Source organism: Homo sapiens, chromosome 19 (genome assembly GCF_000001405.40).
Source record: "Homo sapiens chromosome 19, GRCh38.p14 Primary Assembly".
Classification (NCBI taxonomy): domain Eukaryota; kingdom Metazoa; phylum Chordata; class Mammalia; order Primates; family Hominidae; genus Homo; species Homo sapiens.
Window position 1 is genome coordinate 31,362,711 of NC_000019.10, and position 23,040 is coordinate 31,385,750.

At 45.8% G+C, this 23,040-nt stretch overlaps 2 long non-coding RNA genes across 4 annotated transcripts in view; both read left to right on the forward strand.

The window, feature by feature from the left end:
• The window catches only part of TSHZ3-AS1 (TSHZ3 antisense RNA 1), a 101,016-nt gene that overhangs the window by 40,880 nt on the left and 37,096 nt on the right, over positions 1-23,040 (forward strand). The window lies entirely within an intron of this gene.
• Positions 1,571-22,869, forward strand: LOC124904794 (uncharacterized). Its single transcript, XR_007067377.1, has 2 exons — positions 1,571-4,931; positions 20,868-22,869. It is a non-coding gene; the product is annotated as an uncharacterized LOC124904794 (long non-coding RNA).

Sequence of the window (23,040 nt, forward strand, 5' to 3'; positions counted from 1 at the left end):
GTGGGATTGCTTGGTCAGAGTTTGCATATCTGCAGCTCTAACTGTTTTCCAAGATGATTGTGTCAATTTTCACTCCCACAAGCAGTTTTTAAAGTTCCCATTGTTCTACATCCTTGCCAGCCTATGATATTGTTAGCAATGTTTCTTCGTATTTGTAATGTTTCCTAATCTAGCGGCTGTGGTTGCTGTCTCACTGTGTTTAATTTGCATTTCCATGATTACTAATGAGTTTGAGCACCTTTTTTATATCTGCGTGGTGATCGGGAATGCCTTATTTGTGAGATGCCTGTTCAAGTCCTGCCATTATCCGTTGCATATATGTTTCACATTATTTCACCCAAGTTCTCTGTTGCCCAGGTTTGTTTCAGATTGGTTTGGGACAGTGGATCAGATCAGAAATGTTTCAGTGACATCTCTCACTATATTTCCTAGGATGCTTTTATCTGTGAGAAATACGACCCCCTGCTCACACTGGCTTAAGGAAATTGGCAAGAGGTAGATTATGGCTCCATTATATTAACAGGAAGCCAGTTTGCTCTGCCTTCTTACTCTTCGCTTCGTTTTCGGCATAATCTCATCCTCAAGGTGTTTTATCTTATGATTTCAAGAGGACCACAAATGGCGAGTGGAACTAATTGCTTCTTTGTCCACATTCCACAAGGAAGAGAATAATAGAAAACTTTTCATTGACCCATGTAATCTAAGTCATACCCTTCAGTTTCCAGGGGCCACGTCCATGAAGCAGGAGGCATCTGCAGTGAATGCCATGCCCTGACGCCTTACTGAGCACTCCTAGTAGGACAAAATGAGTACTGTATGGGGAGGAGGCAACCTCAAACAACCACCATGCTTACTGCCAAGCCTATAGGATATTTTTAAATTCATTTTTTAATTTGCATATAATAAAATGCATTTTTTTGGGATGCAGTTTTCTGAGTTTTGCCAAATGCACAAAATCACATAACTACCACTGCCATCAAGATTTGGAACAGTGGCTAGGTGTGGTGGTGGCTTACACCTGTAATCCCAGCACATTGGGAGGCTGAGGCAGGAGCATCGCTTGAGCCCAGGACTTCAAGATCAGCTTGAGCAACATAGTGAGACCCCATCTTTACAAAAAACTTTTTAAAAATTAGCTGGGCATGGTGGCATGTGCCTGTAGCCCCAGCTACTTGGAAGGCTAAGGCAGGAGGATCACTTGAACCTGGGAGGTTGAGGCTGCAGTGTGCTGTGATTGCACCGCTGTACTCCAGCCTGGGTGACAGAGGAAAACCCCATCTCAAAAATTTTTTTTAAAAGATTTAGAGTCGTTTTCTTTTTTTTCTTTTTTTTTTTTGGACAGAGTTTGGCTCTTGTCGCCGGGGCTGGAATGCAATAGTACAATCTTGGCTCACTGCAACCTCCACCTCCCAGGTTCAAGTGATTCTTCTGCCTCAGCCTCCCGAGTGGCTGGGACTACAGGTGCCCAGCACCACACCTGGCTTTTTTTTTTTTTTTTTTTTTTTTTTTTTTTTTTTTTTTTAGTAGAGGCAGGGTTTCACCATGTTGACAGGCTGGTCTCGAACTCCTAACCTCAGGTGATCCACCCTTTTTGACCTCCCAAAGTGCTGTGATTATAGGCATGAGCCACCGTGCCTGGCCTAGAATAGTTTTCTTACTCCCCCAAAACTGCTTTATGCTGCCTTTTTGTAGTCAAACTATCTGCCTGCCCTTAACCCCAGCTCCCCCGCATTAGAAACCACTGAACCTCTGATCTGTTCTTCACCTTAAAGCTTTCCCTTTTCCAGGGTGTAGCGTATGTGGAATTATAGAGTATGTCACCTTTCAAGTCTGGCTTCTTTCATCTAGTGTAATGCATTTGAGATTTATCTATGTTGTCGGATGTATCAGTAAGTTTGTGTCTTAGCAGTGCTGAGAAGTATTCCTTTGCATGGATGTACCCAGATCTGTTTATCCATTCATCAGTTAGAGGACAACTGGGTTGTTTCCAGTTTGGGGTGATTACAAATAAAGCCACGATGTACAAGCACCTCTAGGTTTTGGGTGAACATAAGTTTTCATTTCTCTTAAGTTTCAATACCTAGGAGAATGATTGCTAGGTCAATGGTAAGAGCGTGTATAATGCTACAAGAAAGTGCTAAACTGTTTTCCAAAGTGAGTGTAGCATTTTGTATCCCCGCTAGCAATGAAATGAGAGCTCCGCTTGCTCTGTAAGAGGCATTAGTGAATATGAAAGTGCTTTGTAAAGACTAAGGGTGTCTCACAGTGTGCCCAGGCGGGAGGATTCAGAGGGGGCATTTCTAAACTCTAAACTCCTGTGGGCTCCTAGCCCATCCTTCTGAATGGGGACAGAATACTTCCATTTCCAGGTTACTTGCTTCTCCAAAAGGGAGACAGGGAAGTATCCTTCTCTTTTTGCAAATGAGGGCACAGCACTGCCTCTCGTGGTTGAGCCAGTCATTATTCAGTAGGAACAGCAGTGAGATTCTCCAGCCTTCTATTTTATTCCTGGGGTCACAGAGTAAAATGCAGCGTGATCATTTGGAGCATTCTTATGCTTTGTGACAAGAACAAAGCCAGTGGAAACAGCCATGTGTCCAATCAGAATGTCAGAGCTGGCAGGGACCTTAGCAATTGTCACTTTACAGATGATAACCTATTACATCCCCAGGTCCCCAGAATCCCAGCCCAGGACTCACTCCCTCAGCCTTCCTGGATTGTCCTGGGTGGAACAAGATCAGCTCATTTAGCACATAGTCTTCCAGAACACAAGGCAGTGTCCCACCAAGGTTGGATGGGACCAGCTTCTCTATCCACAGTAGCTGTGCACACAGAGACAGAAATGAAGCCGTACTGCCGGGTGCACCGTGGCCAGAGATCCTCCTTCCTGGTATATACTCCCGGAGCCATTGCTTCTTTCATTTCAGTGCCCATTTCTGAGGCACCTTCACATTTCAAACGTCCTGAGAATATGTTTAATTAGAACTTGGCCATACAGCCTTTTAAAACAAAACAGAAGGGACCAGCTAATTATATCACTCAGCATTCTGTGGCAAACATATATTTTTTAATAAAACACTTTCCTAACCAGAGTAATCCCTGGAGATGCAAATCCTCATTTATAAGAAGTTTCCCAAAGGGAGTTAAAGAGAAGATGCCTTATAAAGAAAAGAGACAAAGAGAGTGGGGAAGTGTTTTCAAAGAGCTTTTAAAAGATACACTCATTCTGAGGTTGAATTACAGATATTTTAAGGGTACCAAATTTTATTTCAGATGTAATCCTTTCCTGTGTTTTTGATCATGTATTTCCGTTTTTTCCCTTTTTGATCATTGCCACAAATGCCCATATTTCTCTTTCTGGTGTCTTTCATAAGTGCAATATTTAAATAAACAAGGGATTTTCCCAAAATGCACCTCATCTCCTACTCTTTGTCATTTCCTTGTCTTGCTCTGTAAATAACCGTGTGTCTCACAGCAGAGCTTACACAGAATGGATGTGGGGCAGTCTGTGGTCCTGGGGAGGGCCTTCCCTGTAATCTCTGCAGCCCAGGACAGGGAGAGGGAAGATTTAGATCCTGCTGCGGCATGTCTTCAGGAGTGGAGGTCAGCTTGGGACATTTACGTTCATGAGGCAGCCGCAGAGGGTCAGAGCAATAATTGTGCCAGCTGATGTTTGCTGCGGGGTTTACTCCAAGCCAGGCCACACGCTAAGAAATTAGGTATCGTACCTCATTTAATCCTCACAATCCTCACAAAATGTAGTTGTTTTGCTCCATTTTGCAGATGAAGAAGACGAGGCTTGAGAGACGAAGGAATGAATGAAGGGTCTCACAGCTGTTAGAAGGGTTAGATCTTGTATTTGGACTCAGGTCTGCCTGCCCTGGAACTTGACTCTCCCACACCTGGTGCTGGGCACACTAGGAGACGTCACAAGGCTCAGAGATGCCACCCTTCCTAGAACGGGCGCCGTGCCTCTCTTCTCCACACACTGCAGGGGAGACAGGCACTGTGTTTTCAGATAAGTTCCATGTGCATCAGGGGCTCGGTGGGAAAGGGAGGACACACTCAGATTAGGATTATTCATGGAGGATTCTCCAAAGAGGCTATTTGGAAAGACGGAGGGAATGGTGAAGGAAAGCACAAGAGAAAATGGACAGAACCGTTACTTCCTCACGCCTGAAGGGGATGGGTTACTGGAAGCCAGGAGGAGAGTGTGATAAGAGCCACTTTTAGAGGAGCTTTCACCTTCAGGAGAAAGTCAGGGCCCAAGAAGACCCACAGGGAGGTGACCAGGGAATGGCATACTTGGACTACCCTCTCTTCTGTTCCTCCACTCTCCTGCCAGGGCTCCACATTGGATAAACCCCTGCAGGGGCGAGTGAAACTGCCACCCAGGTTTGCCTCCCAGGGCACAGCCCATGGAGAGCTCTAAGGCAAGTGGCAGAAAACTAGCACAGGTGCAGTGCGTCTTGCAAAGCACCCAGCCTATGCCGGCCCTGGGCTAGAAATGGGAAGAGAGGAGACCATGGCACTGCCCTCAAAGATCTTAGAGTCTGTGGAGGAGTCAGGCAGAGAGAGGGGGTGTTCCCTTGGCAAAGGACTCCATGAGCAGATGCAGGCCATGGGCGACGCTCCTGCAGAAGCTTTGGGGTTTGCCGCATGTGCCTGGAAGGAGCGCGCCCACCTTGACATGCCTCGCCTCCTGTTGCCATTGACAACGTGAAGGCAAACTCCTGGGGCTGGGCCTTTTTCCTTGAGATAAAATATGTATAATTCTCTGTTATCAAATGATTATTAAACAAAATCTAATTGAAAAAATAGAAAGAAGAAAAGATAAGTCATTTATCATCCTGTTCTCCAAAGACAACTGTGAACAGCTTGGTGGAACTCCTTCCAGTGGCTTTCCTTGGAGCTTTGCCTCTGTGGATGTGGTAAGAGTCGGATGCGATTTTGAATTTTGAGATTTTGATTGAGCATTGTTGTAGTATTTTGCCATGTTATGATAAATCATTGGCAAACATAGTTTTTGACGGCTGCATAATATTCTGCATAATATTCATAATAATGAATGCTAGTATAGTTCATATTATAATTCTTCTACTGTATTTATTTATTTATTTATTTTTGAGATAGAGTCTTGCTTTGTCACCGAGGCTGGAATGCAGTGGCGCGATCTCAGCTCACTGCAACCTCCACCTCCTGAGTTCAAGCTGTCCTCCCACCTCAGCCTCCTTCAATAGCTGTGACTACAGGTATTCGCCACCATGCTGGACTAATTTTTGCATTTTTTAGTAGAGACGGGGTTTCACCATGTTGGCCAGGCTGGTCTTGAACTCCTGACCTCAGGTGATCTGCCCGCTTCGGCCTCCCACAGTGCTGGGATTACAGGCATGAGCCACCACGCTCAGCCTTCTTCTACTGTTTAAATGTTTAGGTTATATCCTGTTTCATTAATATTAAAGAATGCTATAATTAAAAACTTTGTGTATAGAGAATTTTTCCATGTTTCAGATTATTTATCCAGGATGATGTCTCTAAAATAAAGCTACTAGAGGTTGAAGTATCTAGCCCAGGGCCAGCCACAGAATAGACACAACTTGGTTGATAACTATTGTTGTTCAGTGGTGAGTGTTTATGTAAAGCTCTTCTGCAATTAAGAACTGCTCCAAAGTCCTTCCTCTAGAACAGCGCTTGAATATGATGTGAGCCACGTAATTCTCAATGTTATAATAACCACATTTCAAAAAGCAGACACAGTTGAAATTAATTTTAATAATACCTTTTACTGGAGCTGGGCATGGTGTCAGGCCTGTAATCCCAGCACTTTGGGAGGCCGAGTTGGGCAGATCACATGAGCCCAGGAGTTTGAGACCAGGCTGAGCAACATGGCAAAACCTCATCTCTACAGACAAATACAAAAATTAGCCAAATAGGTGGTGTGTGGCTGTAGTCCCAGCTACTCGGGAGGCTGAGGTGAGAGGATCACTTGAGCCTGGGGGGTTAAGGCTGCAGTGAGCCAAGATTGCACCAGCGTACCCCAACCTGGGTGACAAAGTAAGACCCTGTCTCAAAAAAAAACATTAATTAATTAAAACAAACATAAAAATACATTTTACTTAACCGATTATATCTAAAATATTATTTCAACATATGATTATATGTAATCAACATAAAATTTATCAATGAGATAGTCTACATTTTTTTCCCATGTAAACCTTTGAAATCTGATGTATAGATTTTATGCTTACAACACAGCTCCATTCAAACCAGCCTCATTCCCAGTGTTCAGTAGCCACGTGGGTGCCTGATAGCCACTGTGGACAGTGCAGGTCTAGGGCAAGGAACCCACCAGAGATATTTGCCACTGTTGGCATCTTCACCTAGCCCTGAAATCCAGCCACCTTTTAATGCCTCCCCGAACCCCCTTACTGGCGTTCTGGACTGAGGGTGGACCGGGTGGCCAGGTGTGACATGACTTCTGTACCTGGACATTTTTACCAGTCGTCCTCATTCCTGCCTTGACCTTGACCTTAGCCAATCACAGCATCCCTCTATCCCAGTGTGCCTGGCACTGGTTCATTCAGAGACATTGCACACTTCCCGCATGGTAAGCCCTGGGCCTGACCCTAGGGATACAGGTGGACAAACAGAACTTTCTTGTAAAATTTAATTACAGAACTTGTCAGTGTTTTTACGGTCTAGTGGGGGAGACAGACTTTAATCAAATCATCACACAAATATATATAGTTTCTAAATGTGGTTAAGTGCTACAAGGGAAATGCACTTTTAAAAATGCTAACACTGGGTCATGGCATGAGTGGCCCGCCCTGAAGGCATTTAATAAAGGTGGCCCAGCCCCTGGCCAGGCTGTCTTAGGGAACATTCATGTGAAAGATGAGAGTGAGATAAGAGGATCTCAGTTTCCTTCTGGTATCCAGGGTCCCTAAGCTACATTAACAGAGTTTCTAGGACAGACAGTAGCTCACCGGTTCCTGTGTCTGGGGCCCAGTTGATCAATTTGTTGTTTGTCATCTCTAAAAAGTATTGCGGCCAGCTGGAACATAAAAGTAATGAGGAAACAGGCCAGGTGCAGTGGCTCATGCCTGTAATCCCAGCACTTTGGGAGGCTGAGGTGGGCGGGGGATCACCTGAGGTCGGGAGTTTGAGATCAGCCTCACCAACATGACTAAAACCTGTCTCTACCGAAAATACAAAATTAGCCGGGCATGGTGGCACACGCCTGTAATCCCAGCTACTTGGGAGGCTGAGGCAGGAGAATCACTTGAACCTGGAAGGCGGAGATTGCAATGAGCCGAGATCGTGCCACTGCACTGCAGCCTGGGGAACAAGAGTGAAACTCTGTCTCAAAAACAAACAAACAAAAAAGTGATGAGGAAGCAGAAGGCTACCCATTCATTCATTCATTCATTCATTTGTTCCTGTGTTCACGCAGCAACTCTCAGTGAGTGCTCTGTGGGATGCCAGGCAGGCTCTGCACAGTCAGAATGGCAAAGTCAGCCTTCTCTCTGGCAGATTACACACTGCCAACTGAACACACTTTTCCGGGGAACATATCCACTTAAAAGAGAGGAAAAATCAATGCTAATAGAACTCCTTATCTGGTTCCAAAAATGACATCGTCCGTAGTGGCTGATGCTTTGAGCCCATGGCTGCTCTGGAGGCATGAGCCCTGCATGGACACAATTTTGTAAGCTCCTCGAACCTGGCCAAATCAATCAATGAGAGGCTGCAGCATGGAGAGAGTCTGGGTTCCAGGGGCAAACTGTACCATTCCTCTTCTAACCTGAAACAGGACGGAGACCCTCCCTTCAACCTCCAGCCCCTAGGGACAGGGTAATTTCAGCTGCACCTGATGTACCCTATACATCACTGTCTTCTCCACCAGCTCTCAAATTAAACTCTGATGTATAAAGTTAAACAAAAATGAGATAAAATTTGGCAGAGGTTGAAGAGGGTCAAAGTAGTCCAAACATAAGGTAGACTATTGCTTCTTTTGATTTATGTTATTCTGTACACTGAGAAAAAAATAAAATTATAAATCTCCCCGAGACTTTCTCATTGAGAATGAGGCATTGCTAATTGATTTTCAATAGACTCCCAGGGTTTTCAGCTGGGAGGAGCACTATAGCTGTTGTTTGTAGTGAAGATGCCATGGTTCGACCTCGGACATGTACTGTGATGATGTAAAAATATCCTGCAAAATTAACATCTGCAGGCAGTGATGTTGAAAACCACCCTGCCTTACCTGGCTCATGTCACAGACCACAGTGTCTGTCCTTCCTTATTTTCTTATTTAATCCTTGCAAACCCCTAATATGTGACACACAGAATTCACTGTCCCCTTTTGGCAGTTAGGGAAACTGAGGCTTAAAGAAACCACGTGTCTTCAGTAAATATTAGCATGTCTACTAAATGGCTGGGACACAGAAGTGAACAAGACCAGTACCCTCTCCTAGAGACCTTCTTCCAGTACAAGAGACGATAATCAAGTCAAATGACTAAATATAAAGGATTATTAGTGTGTAGAATTAATTGTGAGGAAATGGAAGTGGGAAAAGGGATAGAGAAAAAGGGGTATAGAAAGCCAAGGGAGGGCCTTAACAAGGGAATATTTAACAGTAAAACAGTAAGATTTACTTTTTTTTTTTTTTTTGAGATAGGGTCTTGCTCTGTCACCCAGGCTGGAGTTCAGTGGTACTATCAAAGCTCACTGCAGCCTCAAACTCCTGGGCTCAAACAATCCTCTCACCTCAGCCTCTCAAGTAGCTGGGATTATAGGTACACAACAACACACCTGGCTTATTTTTTAATTTTTTGTAGAGATGGGATCTCACTATGTTGTCCAGGCTGGTCTTGAACTCCTGGCCTCAAAGGATCCTTCTACCTCAGCCTCCCAAAGCACTGGGATTACAGGCATAAGCCACCAAGCCTGGCCCAAGATATACATTTTTAAAGGATGGTGAAGGCTGCTGTGTGTAGAACTAACTCAGGGGGACAAGGGCAACATCAGAGAGACCAGTTAGTAGGCTGTGCTCATTTTCTGGACAAGATATGGTGGTGAGTTGGGCCAGGTGGTGGCAGGAGTGGTAGGTTGCAGAGCTTAGAACAATTTTGAAGATAAGGTGTCTCCAAGGGATCTGTTCCTGCTCCGTTGCTCTTTCCACAGCACGCTACCTGCAGCTTCTGCTGGTATCACTGCACCAGACTCTGGAGCACGCTGCTTCTCTGGAGGAGGATAAAGACAGGGAGGCTATCTAGGGAGATAAGACTGCACCAGCAGGCAGCAGGGGCTTCCGAGAAGAGGGCCCCTAGTCCTGGCTGCGTATGTGCTTGTGTGTGTCACTTGCGATGTGCATAATCATCTTCAGTCTTATTTTTCCCAGGTAACTGCAAAAGGTAATTTCCAGCTCATTTAGCTCTGTTCTTTCCCTAAGCTCCTCTAGTCTGGCTTTTGTCTCTGCCACTCCTACCAAAACCACTCTGCTCAAGGCCATGATCAATGTCTCCATTGCCTAGTCCAGGACAGTCAGAGCTGCTCTGGGACAGATACACCAGATGCATGAGTTTCCTGATAGAGCAGGATCTCAGTGGAGGCTCGATGCCCACCTGCCTGATGCTGTGGGATGGATTTCTGCACAGATGCAACCTCTGTGGGCAGAGGCCAGGATGAGGCTTATGTGGCTGTGAAGACAGCCTTTGATCTGTTTTCTGATGCAACCACAGTGCTGCAGGCCCTGCTTCATCTTGGAGGTTTGATGAGTGCAGACATGAGAGGTTTCTAGGTAGAGCTGAGCCCTGGGCTCTCGAGTCTCCTCTGTCTGCATATCTGCATGTGGTTGGCAAAGTGCCAGCCAACCTCAGTGCAACCCTCACCAAGTTCTCAAGGAACAGCCTCTGAAAGTCCCTCTCTATGCTGAGTTCTAGGGAAGGAAAAGGAACTCAGGGAATAGAAGAGCTGATCTGCCCAAGTCATACATTTCTTGGGGGCACAGGAGGACTACATCTCTCATGCTCACTTGAAATTAACTGTGGCCACTCAAATTAAGGTTTACCAGATGGAACATGAGCGGGAGTGATGTGTTCTCTCTAAAGGCCTAACCCATGAAAAACCTATTGGGAACACTCCCCCATGCTCTTTTCCATTCCATGAGCTGGATGCAGATGATGGCAAGGAACTAGGGTGAGGTGGAACCACAAAACAGAGGGAGCTTGGATCCCTGAATGACCACATGGACATACACATACACCAAAGACTGTCTTGTAAGCAAGAAATAAACATCTACTGTATGGAACCTTTGCATGGAGGGTCTATTTGTTATAGCAGCTTAGCTTACCCTGACTAATACAATCCCTGCTCTCTGAGAATTTAAAATTGCTTCAAGGAGACAAGACTCACTCATACAATTCTGGAATGGTAGTACGTGGCTTCGAAGAAGGGTGGGTTGTAAGGTTTGGACTTTCAGTTCTGAAGTCACAAGCTATAGGCCCTTGGGTATTAGACTCTCCTATTGAAGGCCTTTTTCTGGAAAGCTGGAAGATAGACTGGGGAGAAGGCCCTTCTGGAAGAGGACACATTACAATCAAGGGTTCAAAAGTAGGGCTTGAAGCAAGCATAGATGAGATCAACAATGTTAATTCCTAGAAAATGAAAAAGGAAAATGGCCTTTAAATACCTAAGAGCTTTGACTGCTGCAGGGATGAGACGAAGGCCAGACTTTCATAACTTCTCTCCTGTGACTTCACACACCTCAGAAGTTTTCTGGTGAGGAGCCCTGAACCTGGGTGTGTGGGGAGTTGGTGTCAGCTTGCTGTTTCTCTCCCATGCCTTTTCTCCTGGCTAGGAACCCCACTTGTTGTCTGTTTTAACCAATAACTTAGCTCAGACTTGAATGCTTGATTGGAACAGCAAGTCTCCAGCTTTCTGCAGAGGTCTTTGGGGACAGGAATATGATGAAGTTTCTGAGCTGAGGATTCTAACTGAGACTTCCAGCTCTCAGCTGAACTTCAGACGTGTTCTTTACAGTCACAGCTGTGAAGCTTTTCAGGGCAAGGCCCTGAAAAGCTCAGCTTGGATCTGTCTGTCCCTACCAGGTTCTGGGGGAAGGGGGAGGAGAGCAGGCAGAACACTCCCAGTTTACAGCCCAGGGATGCTGAGTCCTGGGGCCAAAGGTGTTGCTCATCACCCTCGAGCCCTAGAAGTGGCAGGACCTCAGGAGAATTCAAAGTGGTCTTCCTCTTAGGAAAGATAAACACTTATTCCACTGGTTCTCCTCTTCCTGGACACTCCACTCCCTTCTTCCCAGACTCACACACCTCCTAACTGCACCCCAATGAATGGTGCTTCTCTGGGTCCCCCACAGACAAACATTGGGGAGCAGCCACTAAAGACTTGGGTTCTGGTTCCAACTGCTGATTTTGATTAAGGGTGTGACCTTGGCCCTCTTCATCCCCCTCTCTTCTTCCCCTGTTCATTCACAGCTGCTTTTGTTAATATTCATGGTGCATTATGTAACTATTGTTCACAGTTGAGCCAAGTAGTGTACTAGACTTGCTTGGTTGGTTTCATTCTCCTTTTGTTTTCCCTGAAGCCAATAATCAACTCATTTTCATTTGCTTGGTGTTGTTTGCACAGATGATTAAGTTTTCCCTTACCTACCTGCAGCCTGTCAAGACAATTTTCCACAAGATTGAACAGATCAGAAAATCCACTGGGAGCAGTTTCTTCTTCTTCTTGGAGGTGTCCCCTCTGTAGGCCTCTGACGTTCCAGTTCAGTTCCCTGTTTGGGCAACAGCACAACTATCATATGGGCTTTTCTTCACCTCCAGCTTGGAGAATTTCTTTACTTCTCTCATCCATTGGATCCACTGCTTCCTGGAGCCGATGCCTTTCCCTCCTTGGTTTCATCCCTTCTTTTGTTGGTGCACAGCCCCCAGCAGCTGTCTGCTAATGCAGGGATGACATCTGGGGGTTAAGCTAGCAGGACAAAGGAGCTTCTGCCATTTCTCTTCTGGATAATCATCCCCCAACAAACAACAACAGCAGCAAATAAATAAAACAAGAAGAATGTGAAAGAGAAATGCAAATTTCATTTTATACAAAATAAGCAGACAGACACAACCCAGTACTGCAAAGAGTGGAAAATAGGTGGGAGAGAGTCGAAGGACCTTGTTCTGCTAGGTGTCTGCAGCAGGGCAGAAGCCGATCTACCAGGCAGAACCCCAGAGTAGCTCAGGAATCCAAGATGCCACACAAGGCAAAGTGAGGTGTGGCAGGTCACAGGTTGCAGGCCTCCATGGGGAATAGCTAGGCCCCCAGGTTCCCACCCCTGAGCCTGACACCTTCCCCTGTCCTTTTGGAAGACGGGAAGAGGATCCAGGCAAGGGCCAGGGTGAACACAAACCAAAACGAGGGGGATTGGGGGAAGTTTACTCTTGTACACAGTCCCCCAGCTCTTTTCTGTCTGGCTCATGGTCCAGGAGCAGAGGTAGGTCATGGGTCACCTTTTCTTTATGTCCTACAAGAGGTATGAATTTTAACACATGCACTGGTTGTGTAACCAGAACTTCAATCAGGATACAGAAGAGTTCCATCCCCTCCTGCCCCCGACTCCCTCATGTTACCCCTTTTATAGACAAACACTCCCTCCACCCCTTGCCCCTGGGAGCCACTGATCTGTTCTCCATCACTGCAATGTTGTCTCTTTAAGAATGTCACATAAATGGAGTCATGTCATATGCTACCTTTTGAGACTGGCTTCCTTCACTCGGCATAATGCCTATTTATTTATTTATTTATTTATTTATTTATTTATTTATTGAGACAGATTGTTGCTCTTGTCGCCTAGGCTGGAGTGCAGTGGCATGATCTCGGCTCATTGCAACCTCCACCTCCTGGGTTCAAGCGATTCTCCTGCCTCGGCCTCCCAGGTAGCTGAGATTACAGGCATGCACCACCACACCCGGCTTATTTTGGTATTTTTAGTAGAGACAGGGTATCACCATGTTAGTCAGGCTGGTCTCAAACTCCTGACCTCAGGTGATCCAACTGCCTCAGCCTCCCAAAGTGCTGGGATTACAGGCGTGAGCCAACGTACCTGCCCAATGCCTTTGAGACTCATCCAAATTATTTCACGTATTAGGAATTTATTTTTCCTTATTTCTGAGTAGTGTTTCATTGTAAGGATGTACCACAGTGTGTTTATCCATCCACCCCTTGAACGACATTTTGGGTTGTTTCTAGTTTTGACAGTTATGAAGACTATTGCTACAAACATTTGCATACAGGGTTTTGTGTAAAAACAGATTTTTATTTCACTGGAGTAAACACCCAAAGGTGGGATTACTGGGTCCTATGGAAAGTGTATGTCTAATCTTATAGGAAGCTACCAAACATTTTTTCAGAGTGGCTGTACTGATTTTTATTCCCACCAGCAATATATAAGAGTCTTGTTGTTAGACATGTTTGCCAACACTTGGTATTGACAGTATTTTTTTAAAAAATGTTATCATTTTAATAGGTATATAGTGGTATCTCACTATGACTTCAAGTTGCATTTCCCTAACAGCTAATTATGTTGCACATTTTTATGTCCTTATTTGCCATTCTTACATCTTTTTGGTGAGTGTCTCTTCAAGTCTTTTGCTCATTTTAAAAATTGAGTTGTTAGTATACTTACTGTTGAGGCCTGCGTGTTCTTTACACATTAAATATTCAAGTTCTTTTAAAAAAAAAATACAGGGGCCTTTTGTATTCCCTAAACTGGAATGCAGTGGCATGATCATAGTTTACTGTAGCCTTGAACTCCTGGGATCGAGGGATCCTCCCACCTCAGCCTTCCAACTAGCTGGGACTACAGGTGCATGCCATCAGGCCCAGCTAATTTTTATTTTATTTTTTGTAGAGGAGGGGACTTGCTTTGTTGCTCAGGCTGGTCCTAAACTGCTGCCCTCAAGCAATCCTCCTTCCTTGGCCTTCCGAAGGCATGAGAATTACAGGCATGAGCCACTGTGCCTGGCCCATAAAGATGCAAGTTCTTTGATGAATAGGTTACTTACTATTTTTTTTGTCCCAATCTATAGCTTCTGGTTTCATTCCTTTAATTGTCTTATATAGAGCAAAAGATGTTTTTGTTGTTGTTGTTTTGTTTGTTTGTTTGGCAGAGCCTTGCACTGTCACCCAGGCTGGAATGCAGTGGCATAATCTCAGCTCACTGCAGCCTCTGTCTCCCAGGTTCAAGCGATTCTCCTGCCTCAGCCTCCTGAGTAGCTGGGATGACAGGCGCCTGCCACCACGCCTGGCTAGTTTTTTGTATTTTTAGTAGAGATGGGGTTTCAATCAGTTGGCCAGGCTGGTCTTGAACTCCTAGCCTTGTTATCCGCCTGCCTCGGCCACCCAAAGTGCTGGGATTACAGGCGTGAGCCACCGCGCCCAGCCTAGAGCAAAAGATTTTGATTGTGATCATGGACGCCATCTTCAAACTGATTCCCGTCTCCATTAATGTGCATTTATTGAGCACCTGTAGTATACAGGTCCCTGTTGGGGGTTGAGCTTTACAAGACTGATGGAACCTGGTGCTCAGAGCATCCTCTAAGATCTTTGCCCTTCCCCAGGGGAGGAGGTGCTGGTTTAGACCCATAGCCCTGAGGGAAGTTCGGGACTTACTTAGGTTTTTCAACCCCAACTATCCTCAGCTTCAAACCAATGCCACCGAATTACCCCCTGAGCATTCCTGTCTTACCCACCCTCCTTTGCCTAAGCCTTGTTTTCCTTCACTCAAGCATTGATCTCCTCCTTCCTTCCTGGGTTAACCTTGCCTACAATTCAAAGCTCAGCTGGGATAATCCATCAGGCCTGAAAGCTTCTCCAACCCAAAGTTTCTATCTCTCTGTCTATGGCCTTGTTTGATTATATCATCTTTTCTTCCCACCTGGTAGGGTTTTGGGGATTAAATAATATGAAGCATATAGACATGTGCAGCAAAAAGCCTATTAGAAAGTAGATTTTCCATGCAAGTTGCTACAAAATCAAATAAGTTCCCAGTTCCTGAGAACCCAAGGTTTGATATGGTTTGCCTGTGTCTCCACCCAAATCTCATCTTGAGTTGTAGTTCCCACAATTCCCATGTGTCATGGGAAGGACCCAATGGGCATAGGTCTTTTCTGTGCTGTTCTCATGGTAGTGAATCTTTCTCAGGAGATCTGATGGTCTTACAAAGGGGAGTCCCCCTGCACACACTCTCTTTCCTGCTGCCACGTAAGACATGCCTTTGCTCCTCCTTGCCTTCCACTATGATTGTGAGGCCTCCCCAGCCTTCTGCCACTGTGAGTCCATTAAACTTTTTCCTTTGTAAATTACCCAGTCTCCAGTATGTTTTTATCAGCAGCATGAAAATGGACTAATACAAAGTTCCCTCTAATTCTATGTTAGAAGCCTGTTTTAGAAGGGCTTCCACGATTATTTTAATGAGAGCAAACTGGTTCATGAGTACACCGGGCAACACACGGGCACTTTCACAGGAAAGTTAAGAGCATCTTCCGCCAAAGGAGAGCCAGAGGCCAGTCAGGAAAAGGAAGGATTTCTTAATAATAGGAGGTCTTTCGCTATTCCAGTGTCCTGCCGCAAAATGATAGTACAGACCTGGCTGCTAGTCCCCTAGAGTGCCCAGTGCTTCCTTTTCTAGAACTGAGACAAATAAAAAGTAAACTCCAGTTCTGGAGTCCTGTTTTGCAGGCCCCGTTCCCAAATGTCAGCTCCTAATGGGCAACAGCTGCCTCTGTGGTTTCTTCTAGGCAAGTGATTCATGTCTTTGCTCAGAAACGATAAGCAGAACAAATGTTTGCTTAGACATATAACAGAGGGACAATTGGAAAACAGGAGACTGGCAACTGGAAATAGTTTGCAGCTATTTGATCCATGATAATTAGTCTGAATTAGTCATATGGTGCTCACTGGCCAGGCCTTTGGGCCAGAGGCAGCGTGGGGGAATAGACAGCTGGTCTTCCTGGAAAAGAAGTGCAGAAGGGAACATAGCAGACACAGAGGTTTGCTCAGAACACGTCAGATTGGCTCTTGCCCTCTCAAAGGTGACCCGTCTTGACCATCTGCCTTAGTTGCACTCCATACCGGATCCGGGTCCCCAGCCTGGAAATGAGTGGAGAGGCAGAAACTACACACCCATGGGAGATGCCTCTAAAATCCATTAACAATTTTTTACACACTCAGAAGTTAAAGTAAACAATAGGTTGAATTTTGTGTGTGTGCAGGTGGGAAAAAGCTTCAAAAATATCCAGACACCCACATTCATTGGATTTTAATCTTAGGGATCATGTTAGGTATACTGACTCATTTAAGAGATATATGGACCTTGAATTTGGAACCTAAAAGTGGGACTTTGAGTGGAATTTTCAGTCTGATTATGTTGATATAATTTAAGATCTTGTAGCCTACATTATACTTATACAGAATGTACTCCTGTGGTCATGCTCCAATACATTATTTAGCAGATCTATCATAAATATTTTTCTTTCTGTGAGAAAAGGTTTCACTCTGTCCCCCAGGCTGGAGTGCAATGGCACAATCATGGCTGACTACAGCCTCAACCTCCTGGGCTCAAGCAATCCTCCCACCTCAGTCTCCCGAGTAGCTGGGTCTACAGGTGCCCTCCACGACCACGCCCAGCTAATTTTTTTTTTTTTTTTTTTTTTTTTTTTTTTGTAGATACTGGGTTTCGACATGTTGCCCAGGCTCGTTATCATGAATATTTCTATGAGAAGGGAGAAAAGTCAGATACATTCAATATTTCAGCCAAAAAAAAGAAAAGCTACATTTTTGTCAAAAACTTCTCAGACCATTTTTTGCAGAGTCAGGAGGAAAAACAAAAAGTGAAGCCCACAAACCCGACCCCCTCCTCACCTCAGATTAGAATCTGTAATATTGGAGGCCTCTGGGAGTAGAATTTAAGTCACTAGGAAGGTGGACACATCGGCAAAGCCAGCCCGGAGCTGAGTAGGGCATCGACTGCTTTACCAGCAAACATGAACGAAGCTAATTTTGAGCACGGGATATTGAAAAACTCAACCCTCACGTCTCAGGTGGATTTTTCTTTTTCTTTTTCTTTTTTTTTTTTTTTTTGAGAAAGAGTCTCGCTCTGTCGCCCAGGCTGGAGTGCAGTGGCACAATCTCGGCTCACTGCAAACTCTGCCTCCCGGGTTCACGCCATTCTCCTGCCTCAGCCTCCCGAGTAGCTGGGACTACAGGCGCCCGCCACCACGCCCTGCTAATTTTTTGTTTTTTTAGTAGAGACGGGGTTTCAGGTGTTAGCCTGGTTGTTAGCCAGGATGGTCTCAATCTCCTGGCCTCGTGATCCACCCGCCTCGGCCTCCCAAAGTGCTGGGATTCCAGGCGTGAGCCACCGCGCCCGGCCCCGAATTTTTCTAAATACATGATAAGAGGTTGTAAATGGGGTGACCTGCTCCTCCCTCCTTGCCCACGAGCAGTTCCAATGGGGTGTCTCTCTGCTTGGGGCTGAAGCAGATGTGGCTGCGGGAGGGGAGGTAGGAAGGTAGGAACAGGAGCCTGCAAGAGAGTGGTCTTCCTTATTGACGCAGACGACTGTTGGTTTCAATGTTCCCAGCCTCCCTTTCCTCCTTCTTCTGTTAACAACACCTTGGATTTTCTCTGAGAAAAGCACTTTTCCCATATTCTCAGTCCCTGGTGCTTGGATGGGATTAGAAAGGGCTCTTCCTCCTGCCTCCCCTGCACCCCCATTCCAGGGAGAACCTGGGGTCCAGCTCGGTCAGCCAGCATCCTCCAGCCACCAAGGCTGGCACCAGAAGGGCTGCTGAATATTGGATGCAGGACTTGGGCCTCATCTCCAGCGATGCAAAGCAGCTTTCTCCCGTGGTTGCTGAGAGGAGGCTGCGGTCCTGGGGTGGTCCATGGGCCCTGGTTTCCTCCACGTCCAGCCCTGCTGTAACAGTTCTCACGACACAGCCGAAGCCTCTGGACCCATTGTGCTGGACCTACCCTGAGAAGGCTCAGTTGACTCTGTGCCTAATCTAGTTTGATACTTTTGTCTGGTTGTTTGCTCTTACCCCTTGCAAAAGACAGTGTCATCACATGCACTCATCTTGGCCAAAGGCGGTGCGGGAGGAAAGGCATGGAGATGACGCCAGAATTTAGGTTCCACTTTTTGACACTGAGACCTCCCAAGGGGAACCGCAGGCTCTCAGTGCGGAAGCCCCCTCCATAGCTCCCCTGACCTGTCCAGCACCTGCCTCCAGAGGTGAGGAGGGGCTGTGCAAGTTCCTAAAGGCAGCCACCATGGACAGGTCTCACCAGTCCCAAGTCCTTCCTCTAGGCCCCCATCCACCTCCTTGGACTGGCAGCAGTGGGTCTCAGCTCTCAGGCCCCAGAAGCCACACTGGGAGTCCTCTGTTCACTGAGAGGCAGCCTGAACCACGGAAAGGAGAGACCTGGGTCTCTCCAGCTAAATACCCCCATTCCCTCCTGCTGTGCCCATGGCTGTGGCACCAGGGCCTCCTGCCAGCAGGACCACCATGCCCTCTGTGTCCTCTGAACACCTCCACTCAGAGCTGACTCAGTTCAGCAAAGGCGGAGCATGAACTTGTGAGGAGAGACACTAAGCAGGCTGGAGTAGCTGAAACATCACTTTCCACTGCTCCCTGGGAAACGGCCAGAAAGATTCCTGCCAGGCCCGGAATCCCTGCATGCACTTGATCCCCAAGACCTCAGGACCCTCTTGCCCTCCCTCTCTGCACGACATTTGCTCTTCTCTCTGGAACCCTCTACCCTTGGGCATCTCGGAGTTGGCTTCTGCTTATGCTGTTTTTCGGATCTCAGCTTGAAGGATACTTCCTTAAGGATGACTTTCCTGCCCACACCCAGGCCAGGCCACTCTGTTGCAAGATTTTGCACACTTATTCATTCATGTATTTAGTATTTTGGGGCGTTTGTTGTTTTTGAACAGCACTTGCTTATTCTTCCTGACTGGATGTCACCTATGGCCCCAGCTGACATTTCTGTGTCTGTCTGTCACTCTGCGGGTGTCTGTCTGTCACTCCGTGGGCTGTGTTAAGGACAGTCTTGTACTGCACTGTGTTCTCAGCATCCAGCATATCCACGTGGGCTCACAGTGAACAAATGAATGCATTTGTCTGATGGTTCTTTTTGTTCTGTTTTGTTTTGTTTTGAGACAGAGCCTTACTCTGTCGCCCAGGCTGGAGTGCAGTGGCATAATCTCAGCATACTACAACCTCTGCCTCCTGGGTTCAAGTGATTCTCATGCCTGAGCCTCCCAAGTAGCTGGGATTACAGGTGTGCATCACCATGCCTGAATAATTATTGTATTTTTAGTAAAGACAGCGTTTCACCATGTTGGCCAGGCTGGTCTCAAACTCCTGGCGTCAAGTGATCTGCCCACCTTGGCTTCCCAATGTGCTGGGATTACAGGCTGGAGCCACTACACCCGTGCAGTCTGATAGTTCTTATATGCACTTCTTACTCTCATAGTGTTTTTAAACAATTTTTAATTGATGCCTAATAGATGTTCATAGTTCTTCCATGACTTAAGCTAAATCTTGCTCTTCCTGGCCTCAGATATGTGGCCAAGACTCACATCCTCCTAAAAGCCATTCCCAAATGACTTCAAAAAAAAAATAGGAGGAGGAATTCAGGAACAATCCATAACAGGCACCACAGTGAAACGCCAGGTGCAGCAACTCTGGCAGAGGAAGGGCTGGTCTGGGAAGGTGCAGTGCTAGGGCGGGTCCCAGAATTGCTAAGCTCTGTGTCCTTGGAGAGAGGGACAGGGGATGGTGACAGCTTCAGGCCCTCTTACAACCGAGATGATTGCCCCTGGCCCCAGGATTTTGGCCGCCTTCAGGAGCAGTTGGTGCTGCAGTACGTGCTGCCTCGGGTTGGGTACTGTGAGCTGCCATCACCCTGATGCCTCCATGGGCTGAGCAGAAGACACGCCGATGTGTTTTGATTCATAGCAGGCGAGGCTATGTACATTTTACCAAGAAGCCTGAATGTAAAATGGACGGATGTTACTATCAGACACAACAGGGGGCCTACAAGTTTCTAAGTGCCTGTGCTGTAAGTCTGTCTTGAACATATAGCCCAGTTTAGCAATGGAGCTGGTGTGAACAGCTGTGTGTGTGTGTGCATGCACACATGCACCTGTCTCTTGCACACTGTCTCTTGGCTATGGCTACAACCATCCCCCAAGGATGAGATAGGAGCTAGCGGATGGAGCACCTGGGGGCTGGGCCAGAGCACACCTGCAGGTCCTCAGCCTCACAGGAGTAATTTCTGTGGGTCTTTCTGCTGCCTAAGTTGAGGATCTACTTGCTGGCCACTCATGCCTGTCCAGCTTTTAAAACAATATTTGTTTACCTTTTTCTAAGTATATAAAGTAATACATATTCATAGTAGAAAATGTAGAAAATTTAAAAATGTTTAAGAATAATATCATCTGTAATCCCTCTACTCAGAGAAAATATATTGGTGCATTTACACCCAGTTTTTCATTAATAAATATTTTGTAACAAAATTTTTGTGACCTAGTTAGTATGACCTTATTATTTATTTACTTCTGTATCTTGCTTAACAATATATCAAGAACAGTTTCATATCATTACTGTTCCCTGGAAATAACTTTTTACTGGCTGCATAGTATTCCATCATTTGGATATATTACTATTTATTTAACCCATTCTCCACCTTGGAACATTTAAGTTGTCTCAATTATCTTGCAGTAGACAGTAGATGTAAGTGAATGCTCTTATATACAGGTTTTTGTGAGTTTCTGATTGTTTCTTAGGAAAACCTTAAGACCTTTGTTGGACCAACTGGGGAAGAATTTCTTTCCTGCTCAGGCTGCTCAGCTGATAGAGTGCTGGCCTGGAGCAGCTGAAAGACACTTTGCTGCTTTCTGGAGAATGAAGCCACTGGGAAACCACATAGGAGGGAAGAGAGAGACAGCTTCTCGATGATGTCATCTGAACACCTGGATCCTGCTGTGCCTGGACTTGCAGTCCCATTGTCTACCAATATAGTTCATTGAATTCAACTTCAGCTGGATGTCATTCATCTGCTTCCAGAACTTGTGTCTAATGCAGAGCTGAATGCATACTCTCAGAGTTGGAAGTGGATGCAATCCACAAATCTAGCACCCAAATTTCTTTTTTCTGTTCTTTTTTTTTTTTAATTTGAGATGGAGTCTTGCTCTGTCACCCAGGCTGAAGTGTAGTGGCGCAATCTCAGCTCACTGCAACCTCTGCCTCCCAGATTCAAGCGATCCTTCTGCCTCAGCCTCCCGAGTAGCTGGAATTACAGGCGTGTGCCACCACGGCTGGCCTAATTTTGGTATTTTTAGTAGAGATGGGGTTTCACCATGTTGGCCAGGCTGATATCGAACTCCTGGCCTCAAGTGATCTACCCCCCTTGGCCTCCCAAAGTGCTGGGATTACAGGTGTGAACCACCATGCCCGGCCTCAAATTGCTTTTACAGAGGCAAGTGGCCACCGAGTCTGTGATTGGGATCCTCCTGTGGAGACCTGTGGAGACTCGTGGCTCACTACCTTTGAAGGCAGTGTTAGGGTAATCTCTCCACATTTCCCTGCTGAAAGCTCTGAGTGTTAGTAAATTCCTTCTCATATTAGCTAAAATGTATTTTCCTGTGCCTTTTATTCACTGATGGGGAATACAAGCATTCTTTTTGAGGGTGGCCAATGCTAGTAATTCCCTCCATACAGTCAGTGATGGATAGAGTTAACCCATGGTTGCTGCATGTAGTACTGTCACTTGCTGTACCACCAGGACTCAAGTTGATGCTCAACGCAACATTCTTTTGCAGGGCCCTTGTCCTCAGTTTCCCTTCTTTTGGGGTGGGCTGAGAGAGACAGCTTATTCAGCATGAAGCTGTAGTATCTACAGTTTAGCAAATGTCTGCGGAGCCTTTAAAGCAGTTTTTATCATAATAAAAATATTTTAACTTATAACCCCAGAAAGAGATAGGCATGGGAGTCTTTATACAGCACAGAAATCCAGATGAGCATAATTTGAAAGTCATTTGAATTGTAATGAGTATTTTTAATGTAAACAGGCAGGAGGAAAAACTTGCTGGGTTCTCTTGTAGCACAGACACCCAGATATATGTCTTTTGATAGTGATATTAAAGTGTCAAGGGTGCATAGGAGGCTGCAGATGTCAGCGGCATGAATGGGCAAGGCAATTTCTGTGGTTGCAGGCTGGAGGTTCCAGCAGGAATAGAAAGGCAATCTCTGTGCTAGATGGCCCAGGGTCACTGCAAGTCTAGCTCCTAAATGAAAATCAGGGACAAGATGTGGCCTGTAACCACAGTCACTGCTCTTCGTAAGGCTGGTGGAAAGGTGAACTGGAAAGGTTTTTAGGGTTAGGGAGATACAGGAACTCCCAAACATCAGGCACCTGATAGCACTCTCCACCTAACATCTGCATTTATATTGACCTAATGCATCTGTTCAATTTGTCTCATTCTTTGTGCTCACACACATTTATTTGAAACAAAACTTTCCATCATTACTATAGGTGAAAATCCTTGATCACTTGCCTTGAATACAAGAAACCATTATTAAATGCAAGCTAGATAATTTTGCTTGTCTTACAGCCATGAGCCTTAAGTCTGTTCCCCCCACCCCCCCCCCCCCCCGCCTTTTTTTTTTGTTAAAAAGATGAGCAAAATGTGAGAATGATGCAAAAGAGATCCTGGTACCAAAAGAAGCCTTCTAACTGGATATCATCAGAGGGACAGAAAGAATTAAAGTATGGACAAATTTCTCAAAGTGGTATTACTGTTATTTAATTAGTTGTCCATGTGCTACCTAAAACCTTTCAACTACATCTTTTATGAAGTATCCCATATGGACAGAGTCAAATTCCCTCATTTAACAGATGGAAAGTTTGAGGGCCAGAGAGGGGAAGGGGCCCTGCTGAGGTTCCAACAGCTTTCTGAT